Source organism: Homo sapiens, chromosome 9 (assembly GCF_000001405.40).
Source record: "Homo sapiens chromosome 9, GRCh38.p14 Primary Assembly".
Classification (NCBI taxonomy): domain Eukaryota; kingdom Metazoa; phylum Chordata; class Mammalia; order Primates; family Hominidae; genus Homo; species Homo sapiens.
In genome coordinates, this window is record NC_000009.12 from 122,561,836 (window position 1) to 122,585,718 (window position 23,883).

General features: G+C 38.2%; 2 protein-coding genes across 5 annotated transcripts in view; one reads left to right on the forward strand and one right to left on the reverse strand.

Moving 5' to 3' along the window:
- OR1J2 (olfactory receptor family 1 subfamily J member 2) overlaps window positions 1–18,592 on the forward strand; it is a 132,995-nt gene extending 114,403 nt beyond the window's left edge. Inside the window, exons 1-2 of one of the 2 annotated variants that reach the window (XR_007061277.1) lie at window positions 6,541–6,622; window positions 18,118–18,592. The gene's annotated coding sequence lies outside the window, so the exon portion shown is untranslated. Of the gene's footprint in view, window positions 1–6,540; window positions 6,623–18,117 lie in introns of those variants that run through there. The other variant, XR_007061271.1, reaches the window with a different exon arrangement.
- Window positions 1–21,549, reverse strand: part of OR1L8 (olfactory receptor family 1 subfamily L member 8) — a 37,114-nt gene extending 15,565 nt beyond the window's left edge. The window contains exons 1-5 of one of the 3 annotated variants that reach the window (NM_001004454.2): window positions 21,486–21,549; window positions 16,489–16,610; window positions 14,931–15,066; window positions 10,945–11,073; window positions 5,282–6,854 (exon numbers count right to left, since the gene is read on the reverse strand). In NM_001004454.2, the coding sequence (NP_001004454.1) occupies window positions 5,713–6,642 (930 nt within the window). In that variant the 5' untranslated portion in view covers window positions 6,643–6,854; window positions 10,945–11,073; window positions 14,931–15,066; window positions 16,489–16,610; window positions 21,486–21,549 and the 3' untranslated portion in view covers window positions 5,282–5,712. Of the gene's footprint in view, window positions 1–5,247; window positions 6,855–10,944; window positions 11,074–14,930; window positions 15,121–16,488; window positions 16,611–21,485 lie in introns of those variants that run through there. The other 2 variants (XM_017014285.2, XM_017014286.2) reach the window with 2 other exon arrangements.
- Window positions 21,550–23,883: the final 2,334 nt, after the last annotated feature.

Consider the following 23,883-nt stretch of genomic DNA (forward strand, 5'->3'; position numbering starts at 1 on the left):
ATTTAATGAAGCACTTTGGCTGTCCCTTGGTGGAGGGGGTATGCTGTGCTGGAGGGAAACTTACTCATCTGGGCTGCCCAGATTCCTCAGAACTAGCAGTAGGAAAAACTAAGTCTGCTGGTCCGTGGAGACTATGGCCACCCCTTCTACTAGGGGCTCAGGCCCAGGGAGATGAGAGTTCTGTCCTTGAGCCCCTGGCGGGAGTTGTTGGAGTTCCTGCAGGGAGGCCCTCCCAGTGAGGAGGGATGGGTCAGGGTCTTGCCTGAAGAGGCACTCTGGCTGCAGTCTGCCACAGCCGGTGTGTTTGGCTGTGGGGAATATTTCTTGCCACCAAGTCTCCCTGGCTCGGCAGGGGAAAATAGTGACCTGGAGCTATAGAGATGGCTGCCGCCCTTCCCCCGCCATGGGAGCTTAGTGTGTTAGGCAGCTAGCAGTCCCAGTGTTGGCTGCTGCCCCTCCCGCAGGGAGCTTAGACAGCTTAGGCAGCAGGCAGTTGCAGCTGTGGTGATGGCTGCAACTCCTCCCAGGAAGTCAGCAGGCTTAAGCAGATTCTAGCTGAGTGGCTATTGAGAATCTGCGTAGCTCTGTTGTTGGGACCCTAGGCCCTGGTGGCAGGGGCTCTCAAGTGGGATCTTCTGATCTGTGGGTTGCACAGTTCTGTGGAAAAAGCATGGTTTCCCAGGCTGGGTAGCACGCTCACTCACCACCTCCCTTGGCTGGTGGGTGGGGACTCCCCTGCCCTGTGTGGCTCTCAGGTGGGCTGCCACACCACACTGCACTTCCTTCCTCTCCGTGTGTCATACCAACTGCCTAGTCAGTCCTGGTGACAGCACCTGGATACCTTGGTTGCCGTTGCAGGGTTCGCATGCTGTTTTGGTTGTTTTCTGAATTCAACTTTTTAAAAATCCCACAAATAAGTGAGAATATGGGTATTGGTCCTTCTGTGCCTAGCTTATTTTATTTAACATAATGTCGACTAGGTTCATCCATGCTGCCACAAAAGAATAAAAATGATTTTATTCGTTTTATGGCTGCATGGTGTTCCATTGTGCACATATAGCACTTAAAAAAATCCGTGTATCCACTGATGGACATTTTGGTTGATTCCATATCTTGGCTGTTGTAAATAGTGCTGTAATAAACTTGAGGGTGCAGATGACTCTTTGACGTACTTATTTCTTTTCCTTTGGATATATAACCAGTAGTGGGACTACTGGATCATATGGTAGATATATTTTAATTTTTTGAGGAATCTTGACACTGTTGACCATAATGGATGTACTAATTTATATTCTCACCAACAGTGTATAAGTGCTCCCCTTTCTCCACATCCTCACTAGCATTTGTTATTTTTTTTTTTGTCTCTTTGATAATAGCCATTCTAACTGGGATGAGGTGATATCTCATTGTGTTTTTAAAAAGTTTGTTTTTATTTTTAAATTTTATGGATACATCATAGTATAGTTAACAATAATTTATTGTATATTTCATTGTGATTTTGATTTGCATTTCCCTAATGATTAGTGATACTGAGCATTTTTCCATAAGCTTGTTGACCATATAGATGTCTTCTTTTAAGAAATATCTATTTAGGTCTTTTCTCCATTTTTAAAATCATTTATTTGTTTTTTTGTTGTTATCGAGACATTTGAGTTTCTTATATATTCCACATATTAACCTCTTGACAGATGCATAGTTTGCAAATATTTTCTCCCATCCTGTAGGTTGTCTCTTTGCTCTGTTGATTGTTTCCTCTGCTGCGCAGATGCAATTTAGTTTTATGTAAATCCATTTGTCTATTTTTGCTTTTGTTGTCTATGCTTTTAAGGTCTTATCCAATTAATCTTTAGCCAGATCAATGTCATAAAGCATTTCCCCTATGGCTTTGTCTAGTATTTTCATAGTTTCAGGTCTTACAGTCAAGTTGTTAATTTCTTTTGAGCAGAGTTTTGTATGTGGTAAGAGATAGAGATCTAGTTATTCTTTTGCATACACATATTCAGTTTTTATAACATCATATATTGAAGAAACTGTGCTTTTCCCAATGTGTATTCTTCACACCTTTGTCAAAAATCAGTTGGCTATAGATACATGATTTATTTTTGGGTTGTCTATTCTGTTTCATTATCCATATGTCTGTATTTATGACCATGCTGTTTCAGTTACTATAGCTTTATAGTATGTTTTGAAGTCAGGTAGTGTGATGCCTCCTGTCATTTCCCAAGGTAACTGTGCATTGGGAAAAGGGAAATGATCTGATCTTTTGGGGACTACTGGACACTGGCTCTCAACTGATGTTGATTCCAGGAGACACGAAACATCACTGTTGCCCTCTAGTTAGAGTAGGCAATTATGGGGGTCATGTGATTAATGAAATTTTAGCTCAGATCCAACTTACGGTGTGTCCACTCGATCCCAAAACCCATCTTGTGGTTATTTCCTCAATTCTAACTGTGGTTATGTCCCCAGTGCAACTGTGGTTATTTCTCCAATTCTAATATGCATAATTAGAATAGGCATACTTAGCACCTGGTAGAATCCCCACATTTGTTTCCTGACTTGTGGAGTGGGGGGGTATTATGATGGGAAAGGCCAAATGGAAGCCATTAGAGCTGCCTCTACCTAGGGAAATAGTAAATGAAAAGTAGTGTTGTATCATTGGAGAAATTGCAGAGATTCGTGCCACCATCAAGGACTTAAAAGATGCAGGGGTGGTGATCCCCACCACATCCCTGCTTAACTTTCCTATTTGGCCTGTGCAGAAGATAGATGGATCCTGGAGAATGACAGTGGATTATCATAAGCTTCACCAAGCAGTGACTCCAATTGCAGCTGCTGTACCAGATGTGGTTTCACTGCTTGAGCAAATTAACATTTCCTGGTACCTGGTGTGTAGCTATTGATCTGGCAAATGACTTTTTCTCCATCCCTGTCTGTAATGCCCACCAGAAGCAGCTTGCTTTCAGCTGGCAGGGCCAGCAGTACACCTTAACTGTCATACCTCAGGAGTATATCAATTCTGCAGCCCCATGTCATAATCAAGTTCACAGAATTCTCGACCACTTGTCCTTCCACAAGATGCCACACTGGTCCATTATATTGATAACATTGTGCCAATTAGACCTAGTGAGTCTGAACTCATTGGTAGGACATTTGTGTGTCAAAAAGTACAAATAAATCTGGCTAAAATTCAAGGGACTTATACTTCCTCGTGAAATTTATAGGGTCCAGTGGTGTGAGACCTGTCCAGATAGCCCTTTTAAGGTGAAGGATAGGTGTCTGGCCCCTCTTACACCCAAGAGAGAGGCACTATGCCTGGTGCATCTATTTGGATTTTAGAGGAAACACATTCTGGGTGATCAGGGATTTGGAAGCAACATGATTGGAAAATTGATGACAAAGATACCTGGGGAAGAGCAATGTGAATAGACCTCTATGAATGGGCAAAGATATGAAGATATCTGTGTCCCATGTAAATACTCACCAAAGCATGACCTCAGAAGGGGAGGTTTTAATAAGTGGATAGGATGACCCGTTTTGTGGATACCAGTGAGTCTCTTTCCCCAGCCACCACTGTCATCGCCCAATGGGCTCATGAACAAAATGGCCATGGCGGCAGGGATGGAGGTTATGTATGGGTTCAGCAGCATGTACTCCCACTAACCAGGGCTGACCTGGCCACTGCCACCTTTGAGTGCCCAGTCTGCCAGCAGCAGAGACCAACGCTGAGCCCCCCAATGGCACCATTCCCAAGGGTGATTAGCCAATTACTTGGTGGTATGTTGATTACATTAGTCTGCTTCTGTCATAGAAGAAGTATGGATCCCGTCACCCAGGTAGTGAGCATAATACCTGACAGGTAGTTTTTAACTTACCTTCTCCCCACCTTCACCTTCTAGTAGTTTAATTTTTATGAAGTTCAACTTTAAAATTTTTCCTTTTATGGATCATGCTCTTTGCTTTTGATTTCAACTCTAAGAACTGTTTGCCTAGTATTTTATTTTTTACCTTTTTGTTACATGTTGACACCCATGAGAATACACACAGTCAAGAACAATGACTGGACTCCTAAACTCAGGCTTGGAGTAAAGTAGGTGGAATCAGGGTCTGCTCTTCCAAGGCCTAAGCAGTGGCAGCATAGCCATGTTTGGTGTTAGGGATCTATGGAGTATGATCCAATGAGAAGGAAATCATTACAAAGGAACACAAATTAGGGTGACCTCTTATTTATCACTGAAAACACCCGAGGCATTGGAATAATATAGATGTATCTTTAAAAGATCTGAAAGAAAAGCTTTGGACCTAGAATGCTGCATCCTATCAAATTATCAAATTGTCTACTAAAGTAAACGTGCCAAAATCGTGTTTTTAGATATGCATGCACTCAGAAAGTTTTTCTTCAACTGGTAATTTATGAAGTCTTTCACCATTGCATAGGTCATCTTGTTTATTAATAGTTTTCTATTCCATTGGCAATAAATGTTTATTTGAAGAAATTCAGACATTACAACTGTGTATAAAGATGAGGAAATATTCTCCCTCCATGTTTCCCCCTGCCCTTCCATTCTTACCCCAGTGGCTACACACATATGTACATTCATATTTATATAATGTTTTAATGTAATGGATTCATACTTTTACATTTGTTCCATATCTTAATTTTCTTACTTAATGGCTTTTCAAGGAAGCAGTAAAGATATATTTGATTCTTTGAACATGCTGCATATAGTTACACTTTATGGAATTAGTCATAGCATCTTTCTCCATTTCCCTATTGAAAAGGTTTTAGGTTGTTGCCATTTTTACCTATTATAAACTGGGATTTCCCTGAACATCTTTGGAGATTATATATACATATATCTCACAATATTCAATACACATTTACAATAATATTACTCAATACAAATTTATAATAATATTTCTATAGGCTAGAGTCCTAGAAATGACAGTTTCTAGACGAAGTATTAAATCACACATTTTAAACACATAGTTTATGGGAAGGTGAACCAGAAGAAATGTTTCAACCTCCCCTGTGTGAAATGGATAATTTCCATGTTATCCCTTGTGGTTTTTGTTCTTTCTGACCATTAGCATTTTTAAATTGTATGATAAAATATAAGAGGAAATTAAAAGTAAATAAAACTACAGCAGTATAATAAAGGAAGGATAGAAAGATAAAAAAGTAAAAGCTTAAGATTTAAGCAATAAAACATTTTTAGAAGGAGAAAAATAAAAAATTATAAAAATTCTCAAGAAGAGAAAATTAGCTAAAATATATATCCTCCTCTTCCTTCATTCTTTCTCTTTTCAATTTTTTTGCAAAAACATTCAATGGCTACAAATTACACATTTTTCAGCAATATATTGAAATGTGAAGAATTTTGGAGGATCTGCCTTAATAAAAGGAGAGAAATTTGTTTAGGAAATATTCATGGGGAAAGGATTAGATTAAAGCAGTTTTTGGAAAATGAGAAAGTGGAAAAAATAAATCTTTCCAAGAAAGAGGAGACACAGACAGGAAACGATTGTGATTTAAGAGATACAGGCCGAATTGTTGGGTCATCATCAATGGATGTAAGTGCCCACAATAGCCTTGTCTCACATGGGTCAGAAGTGCTAGCTTCCAACAGCTTTGACTGTTCACCAGAAACCAGTAGAAAACACGTCCAAGTTGAGCAGATTCCACTTACGAGTTTTTCAAGAGGGTGCTTCCTAGGATCTCTTGCTCATAAGCTTCCTCAGGCCCTGTTTCAGGTCTTTGTTTCTCAGGCTGTAGATAAAAGGATTGAGCATGGATGACAAAACTGTGTAAACAATTGTTGCCACGTGGTCCTTGACAGCGTAGGTGGATGGGGGCTGTAAATAGACACAGAAGATGCTTCCATAAAAGAGCGTCACCACGGTGAGGTAAAAACCACAGGTGGAGAAGGCTTTGCGTTTCCCAGAAGTAGAGGGAATCTTGAGAACTGTAGTGAGGATTCGTATATAAGAGAAAGCAATGCAGAGAAAACGAGTCACCAAAACAATAGGTGCTTCTGTCATCTGCACAATTTCATTGACAAATATGGAAGAGCAGGACAATTTCAGCACAGGGCTGAGGTCACAGAGAAAGTGGTGGATAACATTGGAGTCACAGAAGGTGAGACGATTCAGCAGAAGTGTGTGCAGGAGTGAGTGGAGGTGAGGAAATGAGCAGGAGAAGGCCACCAGCAGGACACAGTGGTGGTGGCTCATGGTGGTGACATAGTGGAAAGGGTCACAGACGGCCACATAGCGGTCAAAGGCCATGACTGCCAGAAGGCAGCTGTCACTGTTGCCCAAGGCATAGAGAAAATACATCTGTGTCAGACACCCAGCATAGGAGATGGTCTTCTTTTCTGACAGGAAGTTCATCAGCATCTTGGGGACAACGCTTGTTGTAAAGCAAATATCAGTGAGAGACAGAAAACTCAAGAAGAAATACATAGGGGTCTGAAGATGGGGGTTGAAGCGAATGGCCAGGATGATGAGCAGGTTCCCTGTTATGGTGACCAGGTACACGATGAGGAAGAGAACAAAGAGTGTCTTTTGGTCCTCAGGCCGGGAGGAGAGTCCCAGGAGGATAAACTCGGAGACACTGCTGGTGTGGTTGATTCTTTCCATTGACTTGGGCTCAGTTATAAACAAGAAGTTTTGTCATTTAACATGCTCTGATTTCATAACACCAATCATGAGAACCTAGCAAGTCTTTGTTTCTTCTGTTTGGTCACAATTAGCTACTGTGCTAATTGTGGGATGGCTTGTTCACCTCATGGTCCTTGATGGGGTCCTCCCTTCCCAAATCTATGGGCTCCATAAGGGCATTATATTGAAATCTGGAGGGACAGAGGGAGAGTTTTCCTTTAGAAACTTTCAGAAGTGGACTCCTCTAATTCAGACTCAGTATTTCCTATTCTGTGAAAAGCACTATTCACCTGCCGGGGACATAGCAATAGAGCAGACAGATTTCTGCTTATGTGGAGCTTACCTTCTAGTTGGGGAGGTAGATCATTATACTACAAAATATGTAGTATAGCATCAGTTAGGGATACATTTTATGAACAAAATAAAATAGTATTAGAAGATGGAGGTTGCTGGGGAGTCAGACTGGGGGTATTTTAGATGGGGAGGTTTCAGGACACTCTTTCCCTATCAAAGCATACTCAGTTGTGTCACGCTGAAGTTTATCTTTGCATTGTCTTGAAAAAAACTAATGGTTTTTCAAAACAGCCAACAGGGCAAATCTAAGACGACTGTTGAACGCAGTCAATAGAGTGATTTTTTTTTCTGCTCTGCTCACAGAATGAAAGGTTCATCCTCCCTAGCTCATGACATGCTATCATCATTAGTTTGCACAAGTCTCCCTTTTTTTGTAAATTGTTTTTCCCTTCTTTAATTCTCTGTCCTAAATCACATTTGTACAGAATAAGCACCCATTGTTAAGTGTTAAATCTGTTTTTAATTTATCTTTTACGTGTTAAAAATATATATGAGAAACATGTTAATTTTTTGGTATATATATTTTTCATCCCGATCCAGTTACCTACCAATGGATATCAAAGTGGCTTCCATTTCTTGCTACTATAAAAAAACTCTGCAATGAGAATTTTTGTATCAGCAAAATGTTGTCACAATTTTTTTGCAATTAAAGTTTTTGAGTAAGCATATTCATTCATACCTTGTGAATAGGCATATTACATAGAGATTTTCAAGCATTTTTAGATATTGGTTATTTATACATTTTTGGCTACCATAAAATCTCTACAGTGAACATATTTGCACCACCAAGATGTTTGAAACAACTTCATTTTATTTTATTTTATTTTATTTTATTTTATTTTATTATTTAAGTTTTAGGGTACATGTGCACAATGTGCAAGTTTGTTACATATGTATACATGTGCCATGCTTGTGTGCTGCACCCATTAACTCGTCATTTAGCATTAGATATATCTCCTAAAGCTATCCCTCCCCCCTGCCCCCACCCCACAACAGTCCCCAGAGTGTGATGTTCCCCTTCCTGTGTCCATGTGTTCTCATTGTTCAATTCCCACCAATGAGTGAGAATATGCGGTGTTTGGTTTTTTGTTCTTGCGATAGTTTACTGAGAATGATGATTTCCAATTTCATCCATGTCCCTACAAAGGACATGAACTCATCATTTTTTATGGCTGCATAGTATTCCATGGTGTATATGTGCCACATTTTCTTAATCCAGTCTATCATTGTTGGACATTTGGGTTGGTTCCAAGTCTTTGCTATTGTGAATAGTGCCGCAATAAACATATGTGTGCATGTGTCTTTATAGCAGCATGATTTATAGTCCTTTGGGTATATACCCAGTAATGGGATGGCTGGGTCAAATGGTATTTCTAGTTCTAGATCCCTGAGGAATCGCCACACTGACTTCCACAATGGTTGAACTAGTTTACAGTCCCACCAACAGTGTAAAATTGTTCCTATTTCTCCACATCCTCTCCAGCATCTGTGAAACAACTTCTTTACAGCAGTATATTCTTTTACACATTGTGAATGGGCCTTAATACACCAGAATTTTCACATATTTTTAAATGTTGGCTATTTATATATTGATGTACTAAAAAATTAAATGCTTACATTTTTCTTGTAAGTTACTAAACACCTTTAAATCTCAGGTTTTTCATGTATAAAATCGAACACAAATATCCACATTGTCATGAGGATTTAATGAGATAAAGCATTTGAAAGACTTAAAAGAGGGACAAGGATATTGTAAAAACATTCAGGACAAGCTGTTCCCCAGCCACCTCAGCGTCATCGTCCCTTATCTGATATTCCTGCATGTTCTCAAAACTAATTATCTCACATGCTTAAAATATCATATCCCTCACTGTCTCTCAGATTAATTTTATAATATTGCAAGATTTTATAGAAGGAATATTTGCTGATATATTGAGTGAATCAGTAATTAAAGTCAATAATATTAACAAATATTTATTGAAAATGTATTAGTATTAGGTACATGGTAAGCATCTCACTAAATTCCGTAATAAGGAATTAAGAGGCATATGTTATTACTGTTGCCATTTTTACATACAGGAGGCTTAGAGAGGTGAAGTGATCTGTTCAAGGTCAGTAAGGAAGTGAATAATAGTAAAAATTTGAACCTTAAGCCTCTTCATATTTTGGTAAAGCTATACATATCTTACAATCGTGCATTGGTGCTATGTTTTCCTCACTCTGATAAATTTCTACAGAATTACCCTCTTGCCACACAAATACACAACTGACAAACTTTCTTGTCCCATGTTCAGAATCCACTCTTGCAGCTGTAAGGGTGATTACCAATCTTTCTGTGTGGTACAGATGGTGGGATTTGAAAGCTTGAACACTAATGAGGGACTGGTCACAATCAGGTGGGTAAAACTGGCCATGCATGCCGGGCGCGGTGGCTCACACCTGTAATCCCAGCACTTTGGGAGGCTGAGGCAGGCGGATCACAAGGTCAGGAGATTGGGTGCATCCTGGCCAACACGGTTAAATCCTGTCTCTACTAAAAATACAAAAATTAGCCAGGCATGGTGGCGGGGGCCTGTAATCCCAGCTACTCGGTAGGCTGAGGCAGGAGAATTGCTTGAGCCCAGGAGACGGAGGTTGCAGTGAGCTGAGATTTTGCCACTGCACTCCAGCCTGGCCAACAGAGCCAGACTGTCTCAAAAAAAAAAAAAAAAAAATTAGCTGAGTGTGGTGGGGCGCACCTGTAGTCCCAGCTACTCGGGAGGCTGAGGCAGAAGAATCGCTTGAACCCGGGAGGCGGAGGTTGCAGTGAGCCAAGATTGCACCACTGCACTCCAGCCTGGCGACAGAGCGAGACTCAGTCTCAAAAAAAAAAAAAAAATTGACCATGCATGGTGGAGGTGGGTCTTGTGTGTAGGGTTGTAGTGGTGCAGTGGACAGTGCCTTGGACTTGAGGCAGAAGATGCAGGCTGGATTTGTCCTCTATCACCTGCTCATAGGCTGATTCCTGATGTTTTATGAAAGGTGTATTAGTCTATTCTTACACTGCTATAAAGAAATACTCCAAACTGGGTAATTTTTAAAGTAAAGAGGTTCAATTGCCTCACAGTTCTGCAGAGTTTACAGGAAGCCTTGCAGTTTCTGATTCTGGGGAGGCCTCAGGAAACTTTTATTCATGGTGGAAGGCAAAGCCGGAGCAGGCATCTTACATGGCAGGAGCAGAACAGAGGTGGGGGGAGGCGCTACACACTTTTTAAACAAGTAGATCTTGTGAAAACTCACTCACTAACATGATACTAGCACCAGTGACAGTGCTAAACCATTCATGAGGGATCCGTCCCCATGATCACCTCCCACTAGGGCCCACCTTCAACACTGGAGATTAAAATGCCACATGACATTTGGGCGGGGACACAGATCCAAACCATATCAAATAGCAAGTGAGATACCATGTCTGAAAAGCAGTGTGTCAAACACAGATCATTATTTAAAAAGCAGTCATTCATGAAAAGGCTGCCTTGGGAATACAGAATTTAAAAAATAGTGGAGATTTGGGTTAAGTGGGTTTGGATGCTCCAGACTGTAGACATGAGGATCACCCATGCTTATCACGGGGAAAAAGGAAGAAGGTTTAGGATATGAAAATCAGGGAGAATAGTTCTAAAGTACAGGGTGAGTGTATGGGGCTGGGAATGCAATCATTGTTTTGTTTTTTTGGTTTTGGGTTTGGTTTTTTTTTTTCTACTAATAGGGTTTTGCTGCTCTCAAAGCATGTGGTGTAGAGGGCCTCCAGATCAAGCTCAATGAGTCTAAATGAGTCAGATGGTGGTTATGACTTCTTAATTCATGAAATATTTGAAACTTTCAGAAAGGAAAGAGAAAGTGCCAAACTGGGTTGGCTAGGTAGGTGGCTAGCTCACTGAAGCTCACCTCTGTATCCAGCGTTTTTCCTTTGCTTCCATGTGTCTCAAGAAGTGGATCTTCTGCACATCTGTGATTTCCAACTCTGCTTCTTAGCCAAAGCTCAGCTTCCTCATGTTTCTCCTCTGAACTTCTGGACTAATTAGCAAGGAGGGAAGAACTGAAACACTACTCTAAAGGAATACCACATTTCCCTTTTCTGACCTTAACTCCCTGTTTCCTTCCTAATCTGTGGTTCCTAACATAATGCTGCCTTTCTCAGCTGCACATCTCAGAAGGCAGGGAGGCCCTGACTCAAGTGGCAAGGACTCTTTTGATTGTGGAAGCCCAGTGAGCTTTCCATGGGTTTGAGTTCTGCCCTCCTGGCCTCTGTGATCCTTGTTAGGCTGATATAGCTGTGGTGTGCTGACCCCTCAGGGGAGTTTGTCCTGTGATCTCCCTCAGCAAAGAAAGCAGAATGGAAATAACAGTTAACAGAGCTGACTCCAAGGAGACAGGGACCCCTGAGGCTTCCCATTTAGATGTTGGGGCTAAACTCAGAGCTTCTTAACTTCACTGCAATATCCGAAGGGAATGCTTCTCTTTCCTCAAGTAATGGTTATCAAGAGTGGATAAATATTTATGTGAGTGAATATTTTTATGTTTAGGAATGTTTATGTTTGGCCATTCTAATGGGTATACAGTGGTATGTCATTGTTGTTTTAATTTGAATTTCCCAGATGACATGAGATGGAGCATCTTTTCACATGCCTGTTTTCCATCTGTGCATCTTCTTTGCTGAGTGTCTGTTAAGACCTTTGGCCCGTTTTTAATTGGGTTGTATATTTTCTTATTGTTGAGTTTTAAGAGTTATTTGTGTATTTTGAATTACAGTCCTTTATCAGATATGTTTTGTGCAAATATTTTCTCCCAGTATGTGGCTTATTTTTTTATTCTCTTGACAGTGACTTTTGCAGAACAGAAAAGTTTAATTTTAATGAAGTCCAGCTTATGAATTCTTTCTTTTATGAATCATGCCTTTGGTGTTGTATCTAAAAAGTCATCTCTAAACCCAAGATCATCTAGATTTTCTCTTATGTTATCCTCTATGAGTTTCACAGTTTTGCATCTTATATTTAGGACTATGATCCATTGAGTTAATGTTTATAAAGGGTGAATTTATTTTTCTTTTTGGTATGTGGACGTCCAGATAATTTAGCACTATTTGTTGAAAAAACTGTCTTTGCTCCGTTATATGTCTTTGCTGTTTGTCAAAGATAGTTGCGTGGGTCTATTTCTTGGTTCTCTGTTCTGTACCATTGATCTATTTGCCTATTCTTTTGCCAGTATATATTGTCTTGATTACTGTAGCTTTGAAGTCAGGTAGTGTCAGTCCTCCAGTTTGTTTTTCTCCTTTAATATTGACTTGGCTACTCTGGGTCTTTTGCCTCTACATATAAACTTTAGAATTAGTTTTTTAATATCTGCAAAATAACTTGCTGGGATTTTGATCGGTATTGCATGGAATTTATACACCGAATTCAGGAGAATTGACCTTTTGATAATATTGAGCCTTCTTATTCATGAACATGGAATTACTATTTAGTTCTTTTATCTTTCATCATGGTTTTGTGGTAACCCTTGTGTTCATCTTGTACTTATTTTGTTAGATTTATGCCACTATTTTATTTTGGGGGGTGCTAATGTAAATGATATTCTGTTCTTAATTTCAAAATCCACTTGTTTGTTGCTAATATTTAAGAGAACAATGGCTTTTGTATATTAATCCTGCATTTTGCACTCTTGCTGTAATTGCTTATTAGTTCCAGGAATTTTTTTGTCAATTCTTTTGGATTTTCTATATAGACAATCAAATCATCTGTGAACAAAGATAGTTTCATTTCTTTCCTTCAAATCTGTATATCTTTTATTACTATTCTTGTCTTATTGCATTAGGTAGGATTTCCAGTATGATGTTGAAAAGCCATGGTGAGAGGGAGCATTCTTATCTTGTTCCTGAATGTAATGGGAAAGCTCCTAGTTTCTCGCCATCATGTATAATGTTAGTTGTAGGATTTTTTTGGGGGTAGTTTTTTCTTATCAAGTTGAGGAATTTTCCTTCTATTCCTAGTTTACTGAGAGTTTTTAGAATCATAGATGGGTGTTGGAGTTTGTCAAATGATTTTTCTGCATCTATTTATGTATTCATGTGGCTTTTCTTTATTAGTTTATTGATGTGATGCATTACAATAACTGATTTTGGAATGTTGAACCAGGCTTGCATACCTAGGATAAATTAAACTTGGTTGTGATGTATAAATCTTTTTATACATTGTTGGATTCAATTTGCAAACATTTTGTTTAGAGTTATGCATGTATGTTTATGAGAGATACAGGTTTATAGTTTTCTTATAATGTCTTTGGTTTTGGTATTAGGATATTGTTGGCTTCGTAGAATGAATTAGAAAGTGTTTCCTTTGCTTCTATTGTCTGGAAGAGATTGTAGATAATTAATATAAATTCTTCTTTAAATGTTTAGTAGAATTCACCAGTGAACCCATCTGGGCCTAGTGCTTTCTGCTTTGGGAGTTTATTAATTATTGAGTCAATTTCTTTTATAGATACAGTTCTATCAATTTCATCATTTCTTTTTGTGTGCATTTTGACATATTGTTGACATATCATGTCTTTCAAAGAATTTGTCCATTCATTTAGGTTATCAAATTTGTGGGTACAGAGTTGTTCATAGTATTTCTTTATTTTCTTTTAATGTCCATGAGATCTGTAGTGATGTTCCCTTATTTATTTCTGACATTAATAATTTGTGTCCTCTGTCTTGTTTTCATAGTCAGCATGGTTAGAAGCTTATCAATTTTTAAAAACTAAATTTTATTGTATATATTTGAGGTTTACAGCATGATGCTATGAGATACATATAGAGAGTAAAGTGGTTATTATTATGAAGCAGATTAACATATCTATAATCTCACAGTTACTTTTTTGTGATAACAGCAACTAAAATCTTATTTAACAAAAATCCCTAATACAATTCAATATTATTAACTGGTTCTCATGTTGTACATTAGATCTCTAGACTTGTTCATGCTTCATGTCTGTATCCTTTGACCTACATCTCCCAATTTTGTCCCTCCCCCTACCTGTAGTAACTATTGTTTCATTCTCTATCCCTGCATATTTCTTTCTTTTTATTTCACATATACATGAGAGTGTGCAATATTTTTATTTCTGTGTCTGGTTTATTTCAGTTACCATAATGTCCTCCAGGTATATCTGTGTTGTGGCAAATGGAAAGATCTACTTCTTTAAGTCTTAATAATATTGTAAGGCTGAATAAATATACATTGCTCCTTTTAAGAACAGATAGTTCATTTTTTTGCTGTTGACTTGTAAGAGTACAGAAAGTATATACATATATATGTATGTATGTCTACATGTAACATTTTCTTTTTTACATTTTTTTTTATTTTTTAAGACAGAGTCTTGCTCTGTCACCCAGACTGGAGTGCAGTGGCATGAGCTCAGCCCACTGCAACCTCCGCCTCCTGGGTTCAAGCAATTCTCCTGGCTCAGCCTCCCAAGTAGCTGGGATTACAGGTGTGAGCCACCACGCCCAGCTAATTTTTTTTTTTTTTTTTGTATTTTTTAGTAGAGATGTGGTTTCGCTACATTGGCCAGGCTTGTCTTGAACTCCTGACCTCAGATGATCTGCCCGCCTTGGCCTCCCAAGGTTCTGGGATTACAGGCATGAGCCATTGCACCCAGCCAACATTTTCTTTATATTCACTCATTGTTGGGCAGTTAGGTTGTTTCCATATCTTGGCTATTATGAATACTGTATATATCTTCACTGTGAGAACCAGGTAGAACTCTGGGAGGTAAAACTCACAACAGTGTGTGGGCCTTTCTATGACTGGTTCCCCCTAGAGATTTTAACTCTCAGACTTGTCTACACTGAGCCTCCAGCAATTCATCAATTACAGTTCAGGTTTTCCTACCTTAGCACTGATTCCTGCAGAGGCTTCTGTTTGTGGGTTTCTGCTCCAGTAAGCTGTGATTCTTTGTATTTTTGTTGTCTGTCTCTCCAATTTGGGGGGCAGTGGGTTGCCGTGTGACCTCACTTCTCTGATGGATCTAAAAAGAATGTTGATTTTTCAGTTTGTTAGGCCTTTTACTCTTTCAGAAGGAGTAACAACCTCCAAGATCCATACATGTTGGACCAGAAACTGGAAGTAACTCTGATGTATAATTGGGTTTTTAAATGACAATAATTGATTCTGGGTGGAGGCAGGAAAAGGAGATACTTTCTACTGCTGCTAGTAGTGTGAATACAAAGTGGCATATGCTTCTAGGAAATAAATTGACAGCATGTGTTATAAACATTAAAAATATTTGTTTCTATGACCTAGTCTTTTTTTTAACCTCTAAAGAAGCATTTAATCTATTCATACACTGGTGCCTTAAATTTAGTCTTTCGGTATAAGCCCATATAGACATAGACAGTGTTAAGCAATTTAGAAAAGTCTCCAAATTGGGTTGATCCTATTATTGTAGGCAGACTTCAAATTTAAGGGCTTACAATAACTTTACTTAGCCAAAAGTTTTCAGTAGTTTTACACATATGACCTCCACATACAAAAATCGTTGGGATAGTCTGTGTTTAAATTTAAAAACAGAATTATAAAAGAAGGCAAACACCTCAATAATAAAAAAGTGCAATGAACATGAACAGGCAATTCACAAAAGAATACAAGGTTCAGTAAGCATGTGAACAAGTAATTAATGAAACTAGCAATAATGAACTATTGGATAAAATAATAAAATAACAGTGATACCATTTTTTCACCAATCATATTATCTATCAAAGATTGAAAAGAATCATAATACCTAGTATTAACACTGAGAGTGCAGGTGGAAATGTAAAGTATCACAATAACTCTGTAGAGAATTTGACAGTATTTATTTAAATATTTTTCACTTTAAGAAATTTATCCAAAGGAAACAGTTGAAAGTGGTACAAACATATCTGAAGAAAAATGTTCTCAATTACATTAAGCCATGTACATTCTTGTTTTTGTTCCCCCTCACCTTCATATCATCAGTACCAAATATAGTGTTTGTTTGGCATAGAAATTCAATATGTGGTTAATTAATTATTTATATTGTCTATGACCTAGTCTTTCACTTTCAGGAATCTGATCATATAAATACTAAAAACATTGCCAAGTGTGGATGTGGTGAAAAGGAAAACACTTTTACACTGCTGGTGAGAATGTAAATTAGTACAACCACTATGGAAAACAGTGTGGAGATTCATTAAAGAACTAAAAGTAGATATACCATTTGATCCAGCAATCCCACTACTGGATATCCACTCAGAGGAAAAGAAGTCATTATACAAGGCTGAGTGCAGTGGCTCACGCCTATAATCTCAGCATTTTAGGAGGGTGAGGCAGGTGAATCATGAGGTCAGGAGTTTGAGACCAGCCTGGCCTACATGGTGAAACCCCGTGTCTACTAAAAATACAAAAATTAGCTGGTCATGGTGGCAGTCACCTGTAATCCCAGATACTCGGGAGGCTGAGGCAGGAGAATAGCTTGAACCTGGGAGGCGGAGATTGCAGTGAGTTGAGATCATGCCACGGCACTCCAGCCTGGGCGACAGTGCAAGACTCCATCTCAAAAAAAAAAAAAAAAAGACATCATTATATACAAAAAAAGATACTTGCACATGCATGTTTATAGCACCACAATTCACAATTGCAAAAATATGGAACCAGCCCAAGTGCCCCTCAATCAGTGAGTGGATAAAGAAATCGTGATATATACATATACCATGGAATACTATTTGGCCATAAAAAGGAACAAAATAATGGCATTCACGGCAACCTGGATGGAACTGGAGACAATTTTCCTAAGTAAAGTAAAGTAACTCAGGAATGGAAAACCAAACATCGTATGTTCTCACTCATAAGTAGGAGCTGAGCTATGAGAACAAAAGGCATAAGAATGATACAATGAACTTTGGGGACTCGGGAAAGGGTAGGAGAAGGTGAGAAATAAAAGACTACACACTGGGTACAGTGTACACTGCTCGGGTGCACCAAAATGTCAGAAATCACCACTAACGAACTTAAACATGTAACCAAACACCACCTGTTCCCCAAAAACCTAAAATTAAAAAAAATTCTGAAAAATAAATCTCAGAAATTACCACTAAACTTATTCATGTCACCAAACACCACCTGTTCCCCAAAAACCTACTGAAATTAAAAAAAAATAGAAAGTCATTAAAAAAGAAGAAAGAAAAATACTGCCAAGAATATATGTACAAGGATAGTACACGTAAGAGAAACAGAAATCATCCAAGTTTTCATGAATGGGGCTTGGTTAAATTATAATATGTTGATATAATTGACTATTGTGTGGACTAATTATTTGATAGCATATTTTGAATACAGAATAATAATCTTAATAATTATAAATTTAAATTATAATTTTAACATAAATTTGAAACATTTTAATTGAGTTATATTTAAATTTAATTTGAATACATTGTAATTGAATTTTAAAAATTGAATACATTTAAAAATTTTGCACTAACTTTTTAAGGTAATACCTATCCCTTGTCTGGAGATTGCTTTGGAGATAAAGTCGCTCTTTCTCTCCTTTAAGAGAGAATTGAAGTCATTTCCTTGTACTGGAGCAAAAGGCAGCTAGGAAATTTCAGGTTGTCAACTAATAGCTGCTGGATGAGGTTCTTATACATTCTATTACAAAGGGTATAAGTGAGGGCTTCTTAGAGAATACTAAGTACTTCAAAAAGAGAATTCTTCCTTTTTAATTAGATATTAGTTGTGATGTTTACATTTGAGACTGAAGGAGTTTTCTGTCTATATACATAAGCATAAGGGGTATGGTGTCATAATTATTTCAGGATTAAGTCTACATTTTATTATCTGTTGTATTAGTCAAGATTTGTGTAGGGAAGAAAAAATTGTCATTGATGTTTTAAGCAGAAATGAAGTAAATAAAATACTGAAATATTTTATTTACCAGGAAATTGAGTGCTTACAAAGTCATTGGAAATGTTATAGAATCACAGGCTCTAGGATGAGTCTCTAGGAATAAACTTAAGCGCAATAATAATCTGACCCACCTAAAGTACTTCTCTTACCCAATTAGGAAGGAGGAGAATCAGAAGGTCGCCATTGAAACTATTGAATTCAAGAGCTTATCGGTGCAACTGCAGCCCAACTATCAGGAATCAGCATCAAAACTACTTCCTGTCTCTCACTAACTGGGTAATTGGTCACAAAAAGTGGACTTCAGCTGCCGCTCCTAAAGCAAATGCCTGTCAGCAATAATGTACCTAGTAACTGGACAATGAAAATCTGCTGCAGAAAAAAAAAATGTTCCAAGAATATTTCTGACAGTAGAAAAAGCAAAAACATAGGACACCTTCCACGTCATTTCAATATTTTAAATTTCATATAAGTGCACCCAACTAATTCATATTGAGGACTCTAACTGTAAAGAATTCTAGGAAATGTATTCTTTTTATTTCTAGCCTTCGACGTACAGGATGGCACACTAGAATGCGGTCAGAATGAATGCCGAGTGCCAATGATCATTTACAAATAAAACCATTGAATAATAACCTTTCTGTTTCCCTTAGTTGATAGGTCTAATCTGTAATAATGTAAGTTTCCATATGGTCAAAGCAGAGGAACACCAGTGCTAAGGTATTTAGTACAGTCTGCATTTTTCAGGGCATATGACTCATGCTGAAGATCGTAACAATGCCAAGAAGACACAAGAATATGAGAAAGGAATTCCTAGAAAAAAGGCAAAGGTTTCAATGACTAAGCTAATTTTTTCTAAGTCTACTGATAACATACTCCCTACCCCATCCTCCATTAATAAAAGAATGGTTGTTGTATTGTATTATGAGGGAATTAAAAGTGTGATAAGACTGTGCTGGTGTCAGGGTATGTTTGTGTTGTATTTGTTTTTTGTTTTGGGGTTGTTAAAAAATATACTTTTGTTCTAGGCTGAAGCTACTACACTGTGGATCAATAAAACTACTAAAAAGTGTCCCAAGTAACTACTATAATGGTAATTTGCTTTCTTTTAGTAATAAGAACACACCACAGCACAGCTACAATAAAATAAGGTCCTAGAATGAGCAATAGGCCTTTATTTATAAAATTAAGCAATACTCAGTGTCTCTCTAAGGCCAGCTCTAAAAAGAATTCGACTGAATATTAAATATAATTATAATGGTTTATATTTATTTCATAATAGTGACAAATATGGGCTGGGCACAGTGGCTCACACCTGTAATCCCAGCACTTTGGGAGGTTGAGGTAGGCAGATCACGAGGTCAGGAGATCGAGACCATCCTGGCCAACACACTGAAACCCCGTCTCTACTAAAAATACAAAAATTAGCTGGGTATGGTGGCATGTGCCTGTAATCCCAGCTACTTGGGAGGCTGAGGCACAAGAATCTCTTGAACCCAGGAGGCGGCGGTTGTAGTGAGCCGAGATGGCGCCACTGCACTCCAGCCTGGCGACAGAGCAAGACTCCGTCTCAAAACAAAACAAAAAAAAAGTGACAAATATTATATTATGATCATCAGTCAAAGCAATTACAGTTAGGTAAAAAGGTAGGTCATTATAATTAGACTTCCAAAAAATTTTCAAAAATCTTTGTAGGACTCCTGTTTCTAGCAATTAGGCAAACTAAATGCATAGAACACATTTTCATTTCAAAACTCCTAGATATATCTACTTCCTTGTAAGAAAAATAAAATTTAGAAGTCTAGAAATACCAAGAAAATGTGAATTCACAGAGGTAAGCGAGTGCCAATCTTCTTTAAAAATAAAGACAGAGGCCGGGCACAGTGGCTCATGTCTGTAATCCCAGCACTTTGGGAGGCTGAGGCGGGTAGATCACCTGAGGTCAGGAGTTTGAGACCAGCCTGGCCAACATGGTGAAACCCTGTCTCTACTAAAACTAGAAAAATCAGCAGGATGTGGTGGTACACATCAATTGCTTGAACCCAAAAGGTGGAGGTTGCAGTGAGCCGAGATCACGACACTGCACTCCAGCCTGGGCGATACAGTGAGACTCCATCTCAAAATAAATAAATAAATAAATGAATAAATAAGTAAATAAAGACAGAACTTTATTTCTTAAAGCTTCACAAGAAACAAGAGACAAAGCACGGTGTCAAAGCATGGGGAGGAGATCATGGTATTGGAGACCTTTCCCTAAAGCTAGGACCACTGAAGGACTAAGCTCATAGTGTAAGAATTATTTTTTTTAAGTCTAATTTATTTTTGGAGATAGCAAGAAAAAGCAAATTTCTTTTTCTGCGTTTTTGACTTAACCATATTTTTTAAAACTTCTGAGAAGTGTTGCGTTTTTGACAAGGATATATTTTTAAACTTCTGAGAAGTATCAACGTCTAATGAAAGATTGAGAATACACTCAAACTGCATCCATGGCTTAAAAATAATAAACTAAGAAGAATTTGGTTTACGTTGGAATTAGGTAAAAGTAAACAAAAATCCTTTCTGGAAAATGGTTTAAGCCCAGACTTCAAAGACTTTCTAGAGATAAAGTTCCAAAATTTATGAGTTTAAAAAATACAAACAAGGCTCGGCGCAGTGGCTCACGCTTATAATCCCAGCACTCTGGGAAGCCTAGGCAAGAGGATCACTTGAGTTCGGGAGTTTGGGGCCAGCATGGGCAACATAGCAAGATCTTATCTCTGCACAAAATTAAAAAAAAAATTAGCTGGGCATAGTAGTACACACCTGTAGTCCCAGCTATGCAGGAGGCTGACATGGAAGGATCACTTGAGCCCAGGAGTTTGAGGCTACAGTAAGCTACACCCCATTGCACTACAGCTGGGTTGACAGAGTGAGACCCTGTCTCTTAAAAAAAGTTATTTTTTTAAGTTAAAGGAAAAAAAGACATAATGAGCAAGAGTTAGCAGAAATAACAACAGAATGAGACTAAAAAAGTTAGTAGCCACAATTTAAAAATAATCAGGAGTACATATATATGAGAACAAAATAAAAATCTCTAGAAATAAAAGTGTAATTAAAATGAAAACTAAAAGCAGCTCAACAGCAATTTAGATACAGCTCAAAAGAGAATTAAATAAAAAATAGAGCTAAATCATATAGATTATAGCAGAGAGAGAATATAAAAGAATAAGGAAATGGGATTATTTTATTATATTATTTTAACATAATATAATCAGAGACTCAATAAACAGGAATAGCAATACGTTTTGATGTGTAAATTTATAAATACTTTCCAAAAGAGGCAAAAGACCAATGTTCAGGAAAACTTCCATGTGGGACAACATGGAGTAAACAATAAATGGATACGCCCCTATTCACTCTAGTCTGATTTTGCAAAACAATCAGGCAAATCCCAACTGAGAGACATTCTATAAAATATTTCATCAATATTCCTTAAAACTGTCAGGGTCATCAAACAAAAAAAAAAACAGTAAAATATGAGAAACTCACAGTCAAGAGAAGCCGAAGGAGACAGGATGACTGAATATAATATAATATCCTCGATGGGATCCTGGAACACAAAAAAAGGATATTAGATTTTAAAAGTAAGGAAATAGGCCGAGCGCACTGGCTCACGCCTGTAATCCCAGCATTTTGGGAGGCCGAGGCTGGTGGATCACCTGAGGTCAGGGGTTTGAGACCAGCCTAGCCATCATGGTGAAACCCCATCTCTACTAAAAATAAAAAAAAATTAGCCGGGCATGGTGGTGTGTGCTTGTAATCTCAGCTACTTGGGAGGCTGAGGCAGGAGAATCACTTGAACCTAGGAGGTGGAGATTGCAGTGAGCAGAGATCGTGCCACTGCACTCCAGCCTGGGTGACAAGAGCAAGACTCTGTGTTAAAAAAAGGAAAAAAGAAAAAGTAAGGAACTAGGAATAAAGTGTGAACATTAGTTAGTAAATAAATAAACATCAGGAAAGCCAGACAAAATGTACAAAGCAAGTGATTTTAGATATTGAAAAAGGTAGCATGGGGAGATAGAATTTTCAGAATTGAAGTGTAAGGACTTCAGAAAATCTGCTCCTAAAAAAAGCAACAACAAAAGCTAGCATGTAATCCAGCACTCTAGGAGGCTGAGGTGGGAGGCTCACTTGAGCCCTGTAGTTTGAGACCAACCTGGGCCACAAAGTGAGACCCCATATCTAGTTAAAAAAAAAATACCTGGCAAATGTAGCCAGAAAGATAGAAACTGTTTCTGAGGTAGTCCAGATGTTGGAATTACTAAACAAAGACTTTAAATCAGCTATGTAAATATATTTATAATAGGTAGTAAAATATATATTCATAAGTTATAGAAATCAATGTAATACACCATATTAAGAATAAAAATGTAAAAAACCATATGATCATCTTGATAGGTGAAGAAAAAGCATCAAACAAACTTCAACACCCTTTCATGATAAAACACTTAACAAGCCGGGAAAGCTTGAAAACTTTTTTAACCTGATAAAAGGCGTCTATGAAAACCTCACAGCTAACATCATACTCTAGGGTGAAATACTGAGTGCTTTCCTCCTAAGATCAAGAACTAGATAAAGATGACAGTACTTGCCACTTCTAGTCAACTGTGATGGTTAATAGTGAGTGTCAACGTGATTGGATTAAAGGATGCACAGTATTGCTCCTGGGTTTGTCTGTGAGGGTACTGATTCATGCTACAACATGGACAGACCTTGAAAACATGGGCTGGGCATGGTTGCTCATGCCTGTAATCCCAGTACTTTGGGAGGCGGGGGTGGGGGGTCGGATCTTTTGAGGCCAGGAGCTCGAGACCAGCCTGGCCAACATAGTGAAACGCCATCTCTACTAAAAATACAAAAATTAGCTGGGCGTGGAGATGCACACCTGCACTTCCAGCTCCTAGGGAAGCTGAGGCATGAGAATTGCTTGAATCCAGGAGGTGGAGGTTGCAGTGAGCCAAGATTGCACGAATGCACTACAGCCTTGGTGACAGAGCAAGACTGTCTAAAATATATATATATATATATATATGTGTGTGTGTGTGTGTGTGTGTGTATATGTGTGTATATATGTATATAATGTGTGTATATATATACAACATTATGCAAAATGAAAGAAGCTAGTATAAAAGGGCCACATTATATGATTCCATTTACATGACATGTCTATAAGAGGCAAATCCATAGGGAAAGAAAGTAGATGGGTTGTTCCTAGGGGTTGGGGACAAGGTAGAATAATGACTTACTGCTAATGGGTACTAGATTTTGGGTTATGAAAATGTTTCAAAATGAGATAGTTGGGAGAATTTTACGACTCTGAATTAAATTTACTGAATTTACTGAAATTACACTGAATTTTATGGTATAGGAATTATATGAACAAAGCTATTTTTAAAAGGCTATGCAAAACAGCTATCCTCAACAAGGTTGGAAACTTAGGGATGATCTTTCTTATTTTCAGTCCTACTATCTGGAGAGCATTTCCAGGCTTCACTGTAGAAAGGAAAAATCAAAAATATTCCAGCAAACTCTTTTAGTTGAGGAGACAATGTTTGAAGACCAGGGAAGCCTCAGCTTCCCTAGTAGCTGGGACTGCAGGTGTGCACCACCACGCCCAGCTAATTTTTGTATTTTTAGTGGAGACCGCGTTTCACCATGTTGGCCAGGGAAGCCAAGAAAGCTAGAATTCTTGGGACAATACCAGAAAAAAGGAAATTGTGCAGAGAGAAATATCAGATATTTTCTGGTGGGCTTTCTTGGGCCTTTGACTGGGTTTAGATCTGAACATGTGTGTGAATAAACTACCTGAGGCTGGAGAAAGTATCACTAGAAAAGGCTGGGTGGAACATTCATTTTGATGTACCTCTAGTAGTTTCCAGCACCACGG